The sequence below is a fragment of the Homo sapiens genome, chromosome 15 (assembly GCF_000001405.40).
Source record: "Homo sapiens chromosome 15, GRCh38.p14 Primary Assembly".
NCBI classification, from domain to species: domain Eukaryota; kingdom Metazoa; phylum Chordata; class Mammalia; order Primates; family Hominidae; genus Homo; species Homo sapiens.
In genome coordinates, this window is record NC_000015.10 from 60,444,101 (window position 1) to 60,462,829 (window position 18,729).

The window sequence follows — 18,729 nt, forward strand, 5'->3', positions numbered from 1 at the left end:
CTTTTAAAAAAAGAATGAATGAAATTTGCTCAAGGACACATAGCTAGTTTACAGCAGAACTGAAAAAAGTTGACTGAGAAAAAGGATCACATTTCTGGATTAGAAATGGGTAAGAGTTAATTCCATATATTTAAAAAAAATTTTAAATATGTATTATTTCTAAAAAGCAAATACTTTGGGAGATTTTCTTTGATAAAACTACTCTATCTATAAAACCAAGTCCTAAAACCAGTTTAATTTCTGTATGTATTCTACTGCCATCTCCAGGAAGCCAGGGGAAAAAAAAGGCCTGAACATTTCATCTTTCCTTAGTATCCCAAAATTGAAGTAAAAATTTAAGGATAATCAAAATTTTCATACTATAAAGTTTACTATTTTTTTCCCTTGATAAATGGCTCCCCAAGTAAAAGCTTTTCTTGGTTCTGTTCCAATTTTTCACATAAAGCACTTAGGATACTTGGTTCATTGAGACAGACAGTAATAGATATTATGAAATCATCCAAAGTTCCTGGGTATGGATTTCATAATCATGTATTGAACTCAGTAAATTCTGTTTTATATCTTGTGGTCCAAATTAGCCTCTTTATTATTATTTTTTTTTGAGATGGAATTTCACTCTTGTTGTCTAGGCTGGAGTACAATGACGCAATCTCAGCTCACTGCAACTTCCACCTCCTGGGTTCAAGCGATTCTCCTGCCTCAGCCTCCCGAGCAGCCAGGTTTATATGTGCACCACCACGCCTAGCTAAGTTTTGTATTTTTTTAGTAGAGATGGGGTTTCACCACGTGGGCCAGGCTGGTCTCGAACTCCTGAGCTCAGCTGATCTACCTGCCTTGGCCTCCAAAAGAGTTGGGATTACAGGCGTGAGCCACCGTGCCTGGCCTAGCCTCTTTATTTTATCCCATCACTTGAGACTGGCTGATGTTTTAGGTTCTCCTTTAAAGTGCAACTCTTATTAAGCAGAGTTTTGGTAAGGAAACATAAATGATACTGGAAACTAAAATGACAACTAAAATAATTGAAGAACTGAGGAAAAATAAAGAAGAGATGAGGTTCTTGGACAGCAGAGGTTGAAGACACTTCTAAGTATTTCAAAGCTCTATCTAAGCAAGTTGGTTTTTAGGTAGGAAATACTAATGGGGGATGTAATTTTGCTGAATTAGTTTAAATAGTACCACTTACAACATTTTCAAATTGGTGCCTCAACCTCCCTAAAGTTCCCTTAGTCAACAATATCACCCCCTCACCATTTTCCTCATTTACTCGGTGCCGATTTACTGAATTTCCAGAGGATAAAATATTTTGGACAAACAGAGATGAATAGGACATAATTCCAAGGGGCATACATTTTACTAAGAGATTTAAACCATAAACTACTACATATAATAACGGGGGCAATGTAAGCATTCACTGAAAATTTTAAAATTTTATTCTGAGTTTGACACAATCAGAAATATAAGCCTTCTATTTAGACAGTCTTTAGGGTGTGACTATTTTGACATATTTTGATGAAGAATGAATTTTCTTCTATAAGGTTATGTCTTGAAATTTACAAATTTCACCTTAGTCAAGTGAATTACAATGTCCTTACCAAGCTGTCTTGTTCAAGAATTAAACTGGTATCCAAAATTTCCCTAGGCTATTCTTACTTAAGAGATACCGGCCATCAACAATTTCTAAGTGCTGTAAGCTGAAAAAGAAATACAAAGTGGTATGGGTTCACAGAGTAGGAAGTTAAAGAAATGAGGTTAGCCTCAAAATAAATCAGAGAGATAGCAAGAATCAAAGAAATAAAACCTTGAAAATACAATCTATAGGACTGATACTATATGTATTCATGATGTTCAAGCTTATGGTTATTAAGTTTATTAGTTAACACAGATGAGGCAGGAAAAATTAGCAAATAAAGTCAAATCTTTTAATTCACAGGATGTTATAGCATTTATCTAGGAGGAGACTATCAAACCTACAGAATTTTGTCATTCCTTGAGTTTCTCTTGTAAAGAGCACTAAAACCAAACAGTTTTCAATTAAAGCCATTTGGTTTCTAAAATTTCAAGTTTGAATCAATGATAAAAACTAAATTATGTGAATTAGAAGTTTAAGAATTTAGGACTTTATAATCTTCGTTCTATTTAACAAAAGATAAAAACATTATCAAGCACAAGTTCCACCAAGTCCACTGGATTTGGGTGGACAAAGTGTACATCCTGGATCTGGATGGGTTGGCCTTAGTTTATCATAGTAGTCAAACCCTCATGCCGCTGTTATTAGCAATGTGGAAAAGTTGGCACTTTTTAAAAATTTTTTTTGAGATAGAGTCTCACTCTGTTGCCCAGGCTGGAGTGCAGTGGTGCGATCTCGGCTCACTGCAAGCTCCGCCTCCCAGGTTCACGCCATTCTCCAGCCTCAGCCTCCCACGTAGCTGGGACTACAGGCGCCTGCCACCATACCCGGCTAATTTTTTGTATTCTTAGTAGAGAGGGGGTTTCACTATGTTAGCCAGGATGGTCTCAATCTCCTGACCTCGTGATCTGCCCACCTCGGCCTCCCAAAGTGCTGGGATTACAGGTGTGAGGCATCACACCTGGCCCAGTTATTCTTTAATATGATACAGTAGTCAGGAAGTCCTCCACAATGATCAATAGTAGAACATCACTAGTCTGGATTCACCTGATCCCTACCTCAAAACACAGACATTCAAAGTGGTCAGTGATGATTCTTATTGGGCAGTGGGTTAGATAACAAGAGACAGAGACACCAAAACTTGTTTTTTTAAATGTGTACTGTGACAAATACATACAACAGAAAAAGTCCTCAAGAAAAATTAAAGGAAACACACTTTAATATTACATACTCAATTATAATATAGAAGATTCCCTTTATTTACCAGAACTCAGTAGTCATACACACAAAAAAATGCAAACTAATCTGAAAGAGAATTTCAAATATGAAAAATTTTTAAAAGAAGTAATTACTCAAATTGCAGCAATACATTTTTTTTCCTGAGGAAAATATTTATATCAAACCCAAAAGAAACAACAGGGGAAAAAAGAAAGGAAGAGATTTGGTCTTCTAACAGTCCTGAAAAGACCTTACATATGTGTGAAAGGCCATCTTTCAAAAGTTCTACTTGGACTTCTAAAGTAAGTCAACAAGAGCCCCAAAGTGAAAAGAACTCGAGTTCACATGTAATAATGGAAATCCAAATTCCCAGAGAAAACAGGTATATATATGCCAATCTAGATGTAATCTATGATGATGCCATTTTTTAAAAAGTTTATAAAGGTGGAGTATCCCTTATCTGAAATGCTTGGGACCAGAAGTGTTTCAGATTTTGGATTTTTTTCTGGATTTTCGAATATTTACATATACATAATGAGATATCTTGGGGACAGGACTCAAGTCTAAACACAAAACCCTTTTATGTTTCATATCCACCATATACATAGAGCCTGAGAGTAATTTTATACAATATTTTATATACTTTTACACATGAAACAAAGTTTTGACTGGAGTTTGGCCTGTGACCCATCATACGAGGTCATGTGTGGAATTTTCCACTTGTGATACCATGCCGGAGCTTAAAAGTTTTCAAACTTTGGAGCATTTTGAATTTTGGATTAGGGCTGCTCAATCTGTATATTCCAAGCATGAATGTTACCGGCATTTATGGCTACTATATACAAACACTTTCCCTTATTAAAATCGATCTCAGCATTTTAGTAAAAACAAAAAACAAAAAACAAAACTCAACCTGAAGATACTACTATGAGTGCTCAACAATTTAAACTTCACAGTAATGGCATGTTAAGTATCTATTGATTATTTATGTGATCATATTCTAACTCCGCAAATAACAACTTACTCTTCTGATTTTCTTCCGTTTTTTAGAACGTGGTCTTGTCTCTATCCTCTGGACACTGCAGCGTACGAGTAACAACAGGTCTTGCAGGCTAAATAACTTATAAACAAAATTTCCTTCCTGAGGAGCTAGGTATTCCGATGTATCTTCAACATAGTCCTGAAGTTCATATGGCAATCCTTTAAAAATAGTATTTCTCATTTTTAAAATACATTAGCTCTTACCCATCATAAGCAAGGATACAACAATTCAATTAACTATTTTAAAACTTCTATCATCTTTAATTTTCTACTTCTCTGCCTAAGGGACCCTCACACTATTACCATTTCTGTTTACTTTTACTGGAACTGCAGTAAGAGCTGAAATCCTAGCTTTAAGGTTCTTCTCCTTTTAACTTTCACTAACTCTAGGCAAAGTATAAATTCGTGAGACAGCATACCATGTGAGAAAAATAAAAAGTTTAAAAAGTAATGTTATTCCTAATCTAGGCAGAGCTGAGGAGCAGATTTATTTCACAAAACCAAAAAGTATAAAACTGCAGTCCAACACCAAGTATAAATAAATTTTAAATCAATCAATGTTTATGATTATTCTGGATGCACTTACCCTTCACCAATTTGACAAATCACATTACCTATAGCTTAGCAGTCACTGTACATGTTAGATAAACACAAGCTGCAAGACCCATACGCCTTTGTATACATATCTAGAGAGGATTATTTTGGAAGCTGAAATACTGATCAATAGATCGAAAAAATGAAATATCAGTGACTATATGACAATTACAAAACAGGTTATGACAAAGTAAAGGAACGAGGGAGAAAAACCTAAGGAAAAAGAACAAGTAAAACACTGTAAGCTCTTTGTAAATATTTACTTACGTCCTTTTGGCTTCTGAAATGCAGAAGGCCATCCAGATTTCGGCCAACTAGAGGAGTCTGAAGGACCAGACAATTGCTCAGAAACAGAAGGCTGTTTAGAATTTTCTAAATTCATTAAGGGCAATTCTGGTACTTTTCTGGAAATTGGCTTTAAGAGCTCATCCTGCATTTTTAAAATCTCTCCAACTGGATCAAATTTTTTATATACTCGTTTGATAGGTTTTTTTAAAACACATGACTCTTCAGGACTACAAGCAGTATTAGTCTGGTTTCCTACAGAAGCCTGTCCTGAGGAAGAATTTGGACTAGCTGGTCTGGAACTTAAGTTAGAACCCACAACAGCTGTCTTTCCATCACTATTATTTTTACATTCTGTATCAATGATTAAACACTCCTCATCTGTATCACTGCTGCAGAGAACTGTATCTTCAGTTTTTGCTGCTTCTGATCCAACAGTCTTTTCCTTTGAGTTGTCTAGGTTTTCTAGAACATTAGGTCTTTCACCATCAGCATGTAATATATCTATAGTCATATCATTTTTATTAGAAGTTTCAATTTCCTGAGAATTTTCTAACTGTAAGGCATCAGATGTTTTCAAGTCACTATCTTGTATCAAAGGCTTGTCAGAATTTGATACCTTTTCACATGATTCAAATCCCTGATCATCTTTATTTTTGCATTCCTCAGGGCCACCATCCATACCAGTGACCAGCTGTTTCTCCTTTTGCAATTGTTCCATCAGAATCTGAGATAAACTTCTAGAATTAGCAGAAATGTCTGGTGCACTTGGTGCCACAGTTGTAGTTCCTGCTTTGGGGGCTGTAGGAGCATCTGTCATGTTAGGTACTGTGGAAGTACTTGCTGGACTTGGTGATTTTGATACTTTGGTGGTGGTTACTCCAAAAGTTTCAAGTTCTGTGACATCATCATCAAAATCCAAATACAAGTTTTCAAGACTCTCAATTTTTCGGCACTCGTTGACTTCACAGGACATCTTATGTAAATAAATTGGTAAAGTATTAGTAAAAATTTCAAGCCACCCTACCTATCTCTTAATGTCCCTATCCCTGTCATACATACTTCCTGCTCTTTTAAAGTAGAAAGAAAAGTCTAATGGTTGTAAAAGGTTCTTGTTTAAGATGACAACAAACTACTACCAGCTATTATTAACCTCATCTTCCCACTGATATGTTCATGATAACAGGCAAATTTGCCAAGTTATAATAGCACAAGAAATGGAATATTTACAAACTACCACATCTCAAGAGGAATTTCAACGAATCAAAAAATAGACAAGACCACAAAGAAGAAATGTAGGGCCAAACGGGAGGCAGATTTTCATTTATGTCTACTCTATAGGCTCCTGCAGAGACACTTGGTCTTAGCTGACCAGGAGGAAAGTCCCTCTGCCACTGTGAGGACGCTGCTTTTTAATGCGTCCAGAGAAGTGTCGCCAGCTTCTGGTGCACCCTTAATATCAACCAGTGACTTTCTTTCCACAACTACTCAGGGAAAACAACTCTTAGCAATAAAAGATGGGGCAGAAATTGACAGAAGGTGGTTTATTGTATTCTGAGACATGAAGTCATAAATATTGTTTTTCATGTACTGTTTTGGTAATGGAAAAACTACACACGGCTTTTAACTTATTCAGGACTACACTGTCCCCTCTACAAGGAGACAAGCACCAGAAGACCTCTCTTCAATCTGACAGAGCACTTTAAATACCATAGAAATTTCATAACTGGTTATGTACATCCACTAGCCTTACAGTTGAGGATTTAAGAGAAAGGTTCTAACAGTCACCAGCAGTGAGTAAGAAAGATCAACTCGTGTAAGTTACTCAACCTCTCTGAACCTCAACGGCCTCATCTCTAAAACAGGTACAGCAGGGGCATCTTCTTGGATTTGTTCTAAAGATTAAGTGAGAAATTATATATAGAAAATCTCTTGGCATAGTGGCTGTCACATAGTAAGTAGCCTCTCAGTAAATGGTAGCTAGTGAATGGTAATTCCTACTAAAAGACTACCAAATTTAGTAAAAAAGTATAATTAAACTATATGCTGCTTATGTGAGGCATTCCTACACAAAAAGGTTAAAAACAAAACAACTACAGATGCCATCAAGAGATAAAAAGAGGAAGAATAGCAATGAAAGTGTTAGACAAAGCAGAATTCAAAGCAAGAAGCGTTATATAGAAAAGGGAGAAATGCTAGTTTGAAAAAAGAAAATCCATGATAAACAGATAGTGGTCATAAATTTTTATTGTACAAACTGAAAAATAAAAGAAAAATTTGACAGAGACACAATTATACTAAGTCAATGAGATACTGTCTCTAAGTAAAAAATAAAAAGGAATCCAGAAAGTATGAATAATAATAAACGATGAGAATATATATGAAAGATTGAAAATACATATATAAACAGACTACAAAGATACACTTTTTCCCTTCCCAAGAATCCAAAGGGCATTTCAAAAAATGAACTATAAATTAATATACAAAGAAAATCTCAATATAGACCAAAGCAGAATCTGATAAAGTCTTATTCTATGTTCAGAAGGAAATAAAATTAGATATCATTAAGAAAAATGTAAACAAACAATAAACTCAAGCACTTCAAAATTTAAAAACATTCCAAATTGTTGGACCACAGAAATCAAAATAATTCCAGAACACTTAGCAACATAAATTAGACTAATAGACATTAAGAAGTATAATAATTTGAGGCAAAAAAAGCATTATCATCCTCTCATTTTTACTTACTTTTACCTGCACAATCCAGAAAAAGCATTTTACTCCAAGTTCAGGGCCTGAAAACTCAGGCTGTCATTTCAGAGAAAGCTCATTTACTTCTGGTTCACCCTGACTCCTGAGGTGCAGCCCCTTTGGGGTCCAGGCCCTTGGTGGAAAACTGAAGTTTTCCTTTTATCCCCCTAGTCCTATGATGCTGCCAAAAGCACAGTTCATTTTCTTAGTTGCCTCTTCAGAACTGGCACATATAATCCAAGGAAAAAATGACCCTAAGTATAATAGGCTTACCTTCTGGGAATCCTGTTTTCTTCAGTATCTCAGCCCTACAATTCCTCACTATCTTGTTAGCTTTTTGATACTTCTAAGAAAGACATTTTAATATTTGTCCAGCTTTTTTAGATGTCATCAATAAAAGGAGGGTCCAAATTACCTGGTCTACCATTACTGAAAGAAGCCACTGTCAATTTTCATCCCTTTTAACCTACCTCATGTTTCTTCTTGTTACTGCCTGACATTCACCTCAATATAAGTTTTAGGCAGATTTTTAAAAGTAAAATGTGTAAGAAGAAAACATAAGTTAAAAATGCTTTATGACATATGTATCATAAAAATATTAAAAGGCAAATGGCAAAGAGAAAAACATAAACAAATATAAAAACCAAAAGGCCAATATCCTTAAAATTGTATGAGCTCTTAAGTACAAGAAAAACATTTTTATATTTTAAAATTTTGTTTGCTCCCTCATTTTACTCAAGTCTCTGTCCACATTTCCTATCCTCAGAAAAACCTTCTTAATCGTGAATATAAAATGACCCCTTCCCCACCCATCTCTCTATTTCCCCTTAACGTACTCTATTTTTCTCCATAGCATTTACCACTACCTGCTTTTTTACTGTTATCTGGGCCCTCTGCCACTTATTTAAGGTCTGAGGGAAAACAGGTTTTGTTTTTATTCACTGCTGCTTCCTCCCTGCATAGAATAGTATCTGCTTAATAAAAACTTATGGAATGAATGAATCAAGTTCTCTATAAACAATGTATTTAAAAATAATGGAAAAAATATTTTAAAATACAGAATAATAAAAGCTAATATTTACAGAGTGCCAAGTGTTACTCTAAATGCTTTATATGTACAAATTCATTTAAACCTAAACAATCCTATGAGTTAGGTAATATCATGATGCCCATTTTACAGATAAGCAAACTAGACACAGAGATATTATGTAATCTGCCCGAGGTCACATAGCTACTAAGTATACTGAAGATTAACAATCTGGCAAAATACTTTCTGTAACAATCAAATTAAGCTCACCTGTTCCTTTTCACACTTAAAAACTCTTAGATATGGGTCAGGTGCAGTGGCTGACGCCTGTAATCCCAGCACTTTGGGTGGCTGAGATGGGTGGATCACCTGAAGTCAGAAGTTTGAGACCAGCCAGGCCAACATGGCGAAATCTCATCTCTACTAAAACTACAAAAAATTAGCTGGGTATGGTGGTGCACACCTGTAATCTCAGCTACTCGGGAGTCTGAGGCAGGAGCATCACTTGAACCCGGGAGGCGGAGGTTGCAGTGAGCAGAGATCGCACCACTGCACTCCAGCCTGGGTGGCAGGGTGAGGTTCCATCTCAAAAAAATAAAACTCTTGAATATGAATGAGACCAATTAAACAAAACCTCATATTAACCACCACCATCAAGGAGTTTTCACTACATACATAACTAAAAACGTGCTCAGCCTTTAACATAAAATATCAAACTTAACCCTCATAATAACCTTGTCAAGTAGGTACTACTTCCTTTCATGTATGAAAGGAGAAAACTTAGGCTGAGGGAGGTTAAGTTAGTTGCCTAAAGTCCAGCTAGACTCGAAATTCAATTTCAGTTTGAATCTAAAGCCTGTATTTTTAACTACTAGGTTTAGGGATTTGCAATAAAACTTTATGCTTCAAAAGGATAAACAAGTACATTCCCCTTAGGGGAAAAAAAAAGCATTACATACGTCCATTTCAGATATAAACTCTTCAGGTTTGTCCATAAAGACTGCAGAGACTGGAACAGATGTGTTTTTGGACATCATAAATTTTAATGGAACTTCATGAAAGATTTGATTTCTCTCTCTCATAGTCATTTTCTTTTGGGGAAGTGGTGAATTAATATATATTACTTTAACTGGTTTTGAACCTTAAAACAGAAACCAAAGAAAAGAGGTGATTAGTATCTAATTGTGATATATTTTTTAAAAACAGGATGTATGACATGAGGATCACCAAACAAAGAGACACAGGAGAATGGCAGCACATGTCCCATATATTTGCTACCCTTAGACTAGCAGATATTAAAGTCCTTTAGAAATCTAAGGGCAAGAAAATCCAACTGGCAGGAGAAAAATGTCTTTCTAGCAATGTTTAAAAAGGATTTTCTGGTTTTTACTATTATATTCTTACTGTCATTATTACTCAGTTTCTTATAGGAACTTGCAAAAAGTGATGAAATATTTACCACATAGAATATATTACATTTAACTCTAATTTGTAGTTTTGTTTCAATAGACATAGTCTTTCATTTATTGTATTTATGCTGTGACATATATTAACTCTGAAAGATGTTTAAAAAATTAAATATCAAAACAGTATGGACATAATTTCTTATATACAGGAATATGCAAATATTAATTTTATTGTCAAAAGAAAGACTACCCTATTGCTTATATGTATAGACTTACTGTTATTCCAAATTCCAGTAACGAACAAGTAAATAAGTCATAAAAACTCACCCATTTGAGGTTGTCTACTAAAGTACTACGTTCCTTTCATTTCAGTGAAAGACAGAACAACCTGACCATTTCATGTATTTCTTGGCCACCCTATGCCATCATTTTGTCTCTAACTCTCACCCTTAAACATGACTACAGGTGCTATAGACCTAATTAATTCATTTAGTAGTGCTGAGCCTAAAGTAGCTTTACACATAAAAAAGTTTCACTGAATGTGTCAAACTTACATCCTCCTTAAATCAGTACTTTGATATCTGACAACTGACCACCTATATTTAGACAGCTGAAATGAAATGGTTCCAACCTCTTTTTTCTTTTTTTTAAATTTTACTTTAAGTTCGGGGATACATGTGGAGAATGGGCAGGTTTGTTACATAGCTATACATGTGCCATGGTGGTTTGCTGCACGTATCAACCTGTCATCTAGGTTTTAAGCCCTGCACGAATTAGGTATTTGTCCTAATGCTCTCTCTCACCTTGCCCCCCACCCCCTGACAGGCCCCGGTGTGTGTTGTTTCACTCTCTGGGTCCATGTGTTCTCATTGTTCAACTCCTATTTATGAGTGAGAACATGCAGTCCAACTTCTCTTTTTTGAGAGCATTATTTGACATAGCAAATTACAAACCTGCAACAGGTATTACTTGAATACACACTGGAATTTCCCACTGTTCCTTGTACGTTGGTCCATGATTATTTAATAAGGTAAATAATGACTGACTAGTTAGAGCTATCTGAGGGTGATATCTGGAAACAAGCTTCTCTGCATTTGGATCTTTACTAATATCCTGAAAAACAACAAGTAATTTGTTACTTGGTTATACTTATTGAAAATTTCTTCAATAAAGAACAAAAAAAGTCAGAAAGGGGACTTTGGGACAATCGGGTTAGATATATTTTGTGAGATATAAAAGATTATTTAGGAAGATCCAATGTTGCCTTGGTACTTACATAATGCATAGCTTCAGCTGTTTGTTCTGACGTTTCAATGGTAGCTATATCGTCCTTTGACAGCTGCAACTTTATAGGCATTGAGGGAAATACTGTTTTCACATATTTTACACTGCCCTAAATATGAAAAAAAAATCATTTTATTGCAAAAATCGCAATGTATTTTTTCTAAGAAAAGTATCTTTCATCATATGAAACTCTTAACTTGAACTTTATAATTCTACTAAATGTAAACATCAGATTTAGAAACTTTATGCCAAGATATTCATGTTTTTGCTTAACAACCACTACCTGTGGGTTTTTTTTTTTTGAGACTAAGTCTCACTCTGTTGCCCAGGCTGAAGTGCGGTTGTATGATCTCAGATCACTGCAACCTCTGCCTCCTGGGTTCGAGCAATTCTCTCACTTCAGCCTCACGAATAGCTGGGATAACAGGTGTGTGCCAGCATGCCCAGCTAATTTTTGTATTTTTAGTAGGAACGGGGTTTCGTCATATTGGCCAGGCTGGTCTCAAACTCCTGACCTCAAGTGATCCGCCTGCCTCGGCCTCCCAAAGTGCTGGGATTATAGGTGTGAGCCATCATACCAGGCCAGTTTCATAGAATTTTTCCTGCCACTTTAAAGTCTATCCTCTCCTTTCAGGAGATACAAATCATAACGGGGATGGTAGAAACTCCAAAATATCCTCTCCACACACTTATTTCCAATATGTTTGTCAATAAAATCCCATTAAAAAAAGGGGCTTTCTGCTTGTATTCAGGGGCATTCAGATGGGTGGTAAGAAAAGAAAATCAAGGAACAAAGTAGTGACATTTTTAAAAACATCAAGTATTTCTATCCACAGAATAAAAAGAAAGGGAAACAGATTGGTATTACATATTTTAAAAGTTATCTAATTATTGCTTAAAATTTAATGTCTATATAAAATATACATGAGCCAGGTGCAGTGGCTCACTCCTGTAATCCCAGCACTTTGGGAGGCTAAGGCAGGTGGATCACCTGAGGTCAGGAGTTCGAGACCAGCCTGGCCAACATGGTGAAATCCCCACTTCTACTAAATATACAAAAATCAGCCAGGCTTGGTGGCAGGCGCCTGTAATTCCAGCTACTTGGGAGGCTAAGGCAGGAGAATCACCTGAACCTGGGAGGTGAAGGCTGCAGTGAGCCGAGATCATGCCATTACACGCCAGGCGACGAGAGAGAGACTCTGTCTCCAAAAAAAAAAATAAATAAATAAATAAATATATATATATATATATACACACACACACACACACACACACACTATTTCAGACAAAAAAAAGCTTATATCGTCTGATAATAAACCTTACCAATGCGAGAAGAGTTTTTTCTAACTTTAATCCCATCTCTACTCTGAATGGGAAGAATCCCATTAAGCTGGTGACCTCGTGGAGAGTATAGAATTCTGAATACTTTTTCACTTGTTCAATGCAAGCTCTTAAAATTTTCTGAGAAACAGAAATTAAGAAAAATTCATTTGTATTTCTCTAATAATGCAAAAAGAAAATTTTTAGTTACATGTGACTATGTAATTATTCATTGCAAAAATTAGCCCGATTTCATTAATCAAGCTACTAATACACACATTGTATATTCTTTATTTTCATATTTTTAACCCAGTTACTTACAATATTGATGTTTAATACTAAAATTAGCAGTCTCATTAAAATTTAAAATTAGAGAAGACACATATTTTCCATGTCATTTAAGAAACTGTTAAAGGCACATGAAAATTTCAACACACTTTTCTGCAATCAAAGCAGTTATATGAATAATTAGAAATTAAGTAGTATACTCTAAGAACATTCCCAAGCACAATGAATTAATGAAGTAGTTATCTTACAGGTCACTCTAATCTATAATCTAAAAAAAATCAATGAGAAATGTTATAACTAATCCAAATGATGGAGTACTTAGTATTTTCTTTCCTCCAAACTGTTTTCAAAATATTAATGACTTATCAGGAAACATAATCTGTAAGTTAATAAAATTCACAGCTTTCTGTGAGAATAATATGTGCCACTTCTGATAATATAGAAACAATTCAGAGATGCACAGCTGTTGGGGGTGGGGAAGAGTTGTTTGATTAAAACACACACACACATTATCTTCTAAGATACATATTTTTTCTTCTTCTGTCAACGAACCTTATCTGAAATGTCTTAGAAAATATTTTAGGTCACAAAAGCTCTTGACATCTTCTTTATGTATTATCTTTATCCTATATATCTACATCCCCTCTCCCTTCACATATTTGTAAAATGTGTCACGTTACAAATCAGTAACTTTACTCCAGTATATCTTTTCATCTATAGTTTCAGAACCCCTTCCGCCCTTTTCTAATCTCTACTGCCTGCTATCTTTCACATTTTCTCTCTTCATCTATGCTTTTCATGGAAGATCTATTTAATTCATGGTATCATTTGTAACTAACACAGATGTGGACTAATATGGAAAAGTTTTAAAAAATCTGAGTCAACTGCAAACTCGTATCTGCAAAATATCTTTGCTCCTTATTTGTACTATTAGTTAACTTTCACTTGCAACATTCCCTTCCTATGGTAGTTATTACAAGAATTTGAATATGCAAAGGAAGGTGATAAATAAGAACTATGTGAAATAGAGACCATTCTTGTTACATATTCATTGGCACATCATTCCTGGTAAAACTGTGGTGGATGTTAGTGTTTTTAACTGAATTTACTTAATTCAGTAACTACAGCAAGAGAGTCAAAGGAAAATCTAAGACAGTTTTACACCTATACTCTGATACATTATACAATTATCGAAGTATTTTACAACTGGTAGGTATTCGATCAACTAAACGATCATTATTTAGCTTATGTAGCAAAAAAATGTTTTATATTAATAATTTATCTTTCTTTGAAAAATAACTAACTGAACACAGGAAGTTAAAAGATTCAGGCTGTTCCCCATCACTCACCCACTGAGTGCTATTAGTATTTAATACTCAAAATATCTTGAGAATTAAATACACCAAAAGCAAATGCATTTATACAATACAGATCTATCATTATAAAAAATGCCCCCTAAATTTTATTTTGGGCTGGAAAGGAAAAATATTTCTGGGCTTGGTGAAAAGTGAGGAAAATATGCAAAAACCATAAATCAACACATAGAGGAGAAACTAGAGCAGTGAGCAGTAAGAAAACCTATGAAAGGTGAGGTGGCTTAAGGGCTAATTCTTCAACCAGTTCTAAGATCAGGTGGGAAGCGAAACGTAAGACTTCTACATTTAAGCAGGGATTTGAACAGATATATGTACATTTATGTTCATAACAGCATTATTCATAACAGCCAAAAGGTGGAAGCAACTCCAGTGTTTATCAATGGATGAACAGATAAACTAAATGTAATACACACGCGCACACACAAACACACACACACACAACGGGATATTAATCAGCCTTAAAAAGGAAAGAAATTCTGACACATGCTACTACTTGGACAAATCTTGAGGACATTATGCTAAGTGAAATAAGCCAGTCACAAAAAGACAGATACTGTATGTTTCCTCTTATATGGGGAACCTAGAATAATGAAACTTATACAGACAGAAACAGAATGTGGTTGCCAGGAACTGAGGGGAAGAGGAAACAGGGAGCTACTGTTTAATGGGTACTCAGTTTCAGTTTGGGAAGACGAAAAGTTCTGGAGATGGATGGTGGTGATACCTGCATAACAATGTAAATGTATTTAACGTTATTGAACTGTACACTTAAATGGTGAAAACGGTAAATTTTGTTATGTATACTTTACCAAAATGAAGGAGAAGCAATCACTGAAAATGGTTGAGAATTCTCCAGAACTAATGGAGGCTATAAATCCATAGACACAATAAACACAATCAGCCAGCAGGATTTTATTAAAAAGCATATTTTTATGAAACTCTAAAACACCAAAATTAAAGTACAGTAAGAAAAGACAGAAGCCCTAAAAGAAATGACAATTAGACAACACATTTTTCAACAATAACATGAAGAAGTAGGATTATCTTTAAATGTCGTGGAAAAAAGGTAACTGCCAACTTTGAATTGCGTATGAAATACAATGATCTTACTAAAATGAGAACAAGAGAGATAAAAGATTTCCAAATAAACAAAAATGGAGACTGTTCACCATTAAGAGACCCTCATCAAAGGCACATCTAGAATACATAGGTTTTCAGGAAGAATGAAAGAATCTCAGAATGTAGGTTTGAGAAGAAACGGTGGGCCAAAATCTAGCAAACCTGTAGATAAATTAAAACAAATATAGTCCATATAAAACAATAATGTGGGTAAGTTTAAAAAAGAAACAGCATTACAACAAAAATAGCATACAAGTCAAGAGGGATGTAATGAGAGTCAAAATGCTCTATGATTTCTATATTGTTTGGGAGGCTAGTTGATATTGAATAACGGAAGTATTGACTATAAAAATTCAAGAGTAACCACTAAGAGAACAGAAAGTCGACATGTAAATTCCAAACCAACAGAGAGGGGGACACTAGGAAAAATGTCAATCCCCTCAAAAGGAGTTTAAAAAAAAACACAGAAAAAGTAAAAGAAGCAAAAACAAATCAATATATACCGTCATCATAATGGATGTAAATCACTAAACTTTCTAATTAAAAGAGATTATCAGATTTTATTTTTAAAAGAAAGGAAAGCAATCTAGCTGAACAGTTTTAATCCCACCTAGATTTTTGTAGAAATGGACAAGCTGATTCCAAAATTTACATAAGAATGTAAAGAACCCATGATCTCAGGACTACAAAACTACAGTTATCAAGACCATATGGTTTTGGCATCAAGACAGACATACAGATTAATGGAACAAAACAGAGTCAAAAAATTGATCCAGGCTGGGTGCGGTGGCTCACACCTGTAATCCCAACACTTTGAGAGGCCAAGGAGGCAGGTGGATCACCTGAGGTCAGGAGTTCGAGGCCAGCCTGGCCAACATGGTGAAATCCATCTCCACTAAAAATACAAAAAAATTAGCTGGGTGTGGTAGCAGGTGCCTGTAATCTCAGCTACTCGGTAGGCCGAGGCAGGAGAGTTGCTGGAACCCGCGAGGGAGAGGATGCAGTGAGCAGAGATCACGCCACTGTACTGCAGCCTGTGCGAGAGAGGGAGACTCCGTCTCCAAAAAAAAATTGATCCACATGATGGTGACGAGGTAACTCAGTAAGGGAAAAAATACCCTTCTCAACCAAACTCTGTGCTAAAGCAGAGTTTCTCAACGTTGGCATTACTGACGTTTTGGACCACATAATTCTTTGTAGTGTTAGGCTGTCCAGTACACTGTAGGATATTTAGTAGCACCTCTGGCTCTACCCACTAGACGCCATCAGCACCCCTACCAAGCTCTAGACATTGCCAAATGTCCATTAGGAGGCAAAGTCACTCTCAGTTGAAAATGACTATGCTAGAACAACTAGATATTCATAGATATTCATACGGGAAAAAATGAACTTTGATCCTTACCTTGTATCTTACACAAAAATTAACTTGAAATCAACATAGACTTATTTTCATGTATAAGTTAAAACTGTAAGCCCTTTAGATTAGGGTTTCTCAATGCAAGCACCCCTGACACTTCCAGTTGGATAACTCCTTGTTGCGGGGGACATCACTCACATGCATTTAGTATGTTTAGCAGCATCCTTGGCCTCTACGCAGTAGATACTAGTAGCATTCCACCAGTTGTAACAACCAAAAATGTCTCACCGTCAAAGTCCTAGGGATGGGTGGGGTGGGGGGGCGAGTCAGGAAGGATTAAAACTGACTCCAGTCTGAGAATCACTTGGGATAGGCAAATATTTCTATGCTAGAACACATGAAATCACTAACCACAAAAATTTTTGATAAATTAGACCATTAAAATTCTGTTCTTTGAAACACTATTTAAAAAATTTAAAAATACATCACAAACTGGAAGAAAACCAGTTTGTATATAATGGAGTTGTATTCAGACTATATAAAGAAACTTTACGGCTTAATAAAAATAAAAGCAAATTAAAAAATCAGCAAAATACTTCAATAGACATTTCACAAAAGAAATGCACTTAAAATGAGTAATTTTTATATGTAAATTATACCTTAATAAAATTGTTTTAAAAATTAAATGTGGATTTAAAAGGGAGGCTTTAGTATTTAATGGCTACTATATGATGCTCTAACAATAAAAACACAGTGCAATCTTTTAAAAAATGTGGGGGAGAATGAGAAGAGCATAAGAAAAATAATTTCAACTGTTTTCAGTAATCGTATTGATCACTAGTATTAATATTGTTATTTTGAGGCTGTTGTGAGTGTAATGTGGGATAAAGCAAATGAGACATATGAGGTATTTTTCCTTTAAATCTATTTCCTAGTTCTATCCACTGAATTATTCTCAAAACAATGATCAACCCAGGAGCATCCATAGTGCCCAGATTGTAGTCTTGAAATATCATTTCACACTAAAAGAAACAAGGGCTCTTGAAAATGGCTGATTCCAGGGCCAGGGCAGGAAGTGTACAAAATGAGCCTCAAAGACTACCAGACTGACTGAAAAGCCAGTAGGAAGAGCCTCTCAGTGAGTTAATACTATTTGAGGCTTACAAAGGATAATAATCGTAGTGGACAGAAACACATATATATTTAACTCCATGATTTAATAATAACATTTTAAAAAAAGAAAAGACACCAACATTGGAGAATAAGAAGGAACTAATTTTTTTAAAAGTGGTATTTAAAAGGAAAGAATCTAGTATTTATTCTGCTACATGGTAAGCTACATGAACTGGGAAACCAAATAGTAAGTAAGGGAAAGCATATCTTTTAAAAAGTATTCCAATGAATAAATGATGCAATCAGAATATTACAACTGTGCAAACCACAGTGAATGAATACATCTAGGCAGTGAGCATTAACAGCTGGGGTGGTGGGGAAAATGTTAGTTGACATAAAATTTCAGTCAGGAGGAAAAATTCAAGAGATCAATTATAAAACATGGTGATGATAGTTAATTACAATGTATTGTGTTCTTGAAAACTGCTAAGAGAGTAGATTTTAAGTGTTCTCACAACAAAAAAACAGGTTTGTGAGGTAATGCATATGTTAATTAGTCCGGTTTGGCCTTTCCACAATGTATACATATTTAAAAAACATACAGTACAAAATAAATATATACAATTTTAACTTGTCAATAGAAAAAGATAAAATTCAAAACAGAAAAAGGAGAAAAACTGCAACATACATAGCCCATAAAGTTTTTGTATTTGGAATATACAAAGAAATCTTACATATCAATTAGAAAAAATGAACAGTCATTCTGCAAGAAAAAGTGAGCAGGAACATATGAAAACATGCGCTCTCTCTGGCTCTCGCTCTCCCTCTCTCTCTCCCTCTATATACATATATATATATGTCTGAGATGTGGAGCAACAGAACTCTTAAACACTGCTGGTTAGAATGTAAATTGATATAACCTG

At 35.2% G+C, this 18,729-nt stretch overlaps 1 protein-coding gene across 13 annotated transcripts in view; it reads right to left on the bottom strand.

Annotated features, from left to right (window-relative positions):
• The window catches only part of ICE2 (interactor of little elongation complex ELL subunit 2), a 59,534-nt gene that overhangs the window by 24,492 nt on the left and 16,313 nt on the right, over window positions 1–18,729 (bottom strand). For 11 of the 13 annotated variants that reach the window (NR_147171.2, XM_011522009.3, NM_001018089.3 and 8 more), the window contains 6 exons: window positions 12,557–12,694; window positions 11,226–11,342; window positions 10,903–11,062; window positions 9,503–9,684; window positions 4,748–5,741; window positions 3,870–4,045 (listed from right to left, as the gene is read on the bottom strand). Coding sequence is in view for 12 of the 13 variants with exons in the window: in XM_011522009.3 (XP_011520311.1) it covers window positions 3,870–4,045; window positions 4,748–5,741; window positions 9,503–9,684; window positions 10,903–11,062; window positions 11,226–11,342; window positions 12,557–12,694 (1,767 nt within the window). In the remaining variant the exon portion in view is untranslated. Of the gene's footprint in view, window positions 1–1,592; window positions 1,692–3,869; window positions 4,046–4,747; window positions 5,742–6,994; window positions 9,685–10,902; window positions 11,063–11,225; window positions 11,343–12,556; window positions 12,695–18,729 lie in introns of those variants that run through there. The other 2 variants (XM_047433033.1, NM_001276385.2) reach the window with 2 other exon arrangements.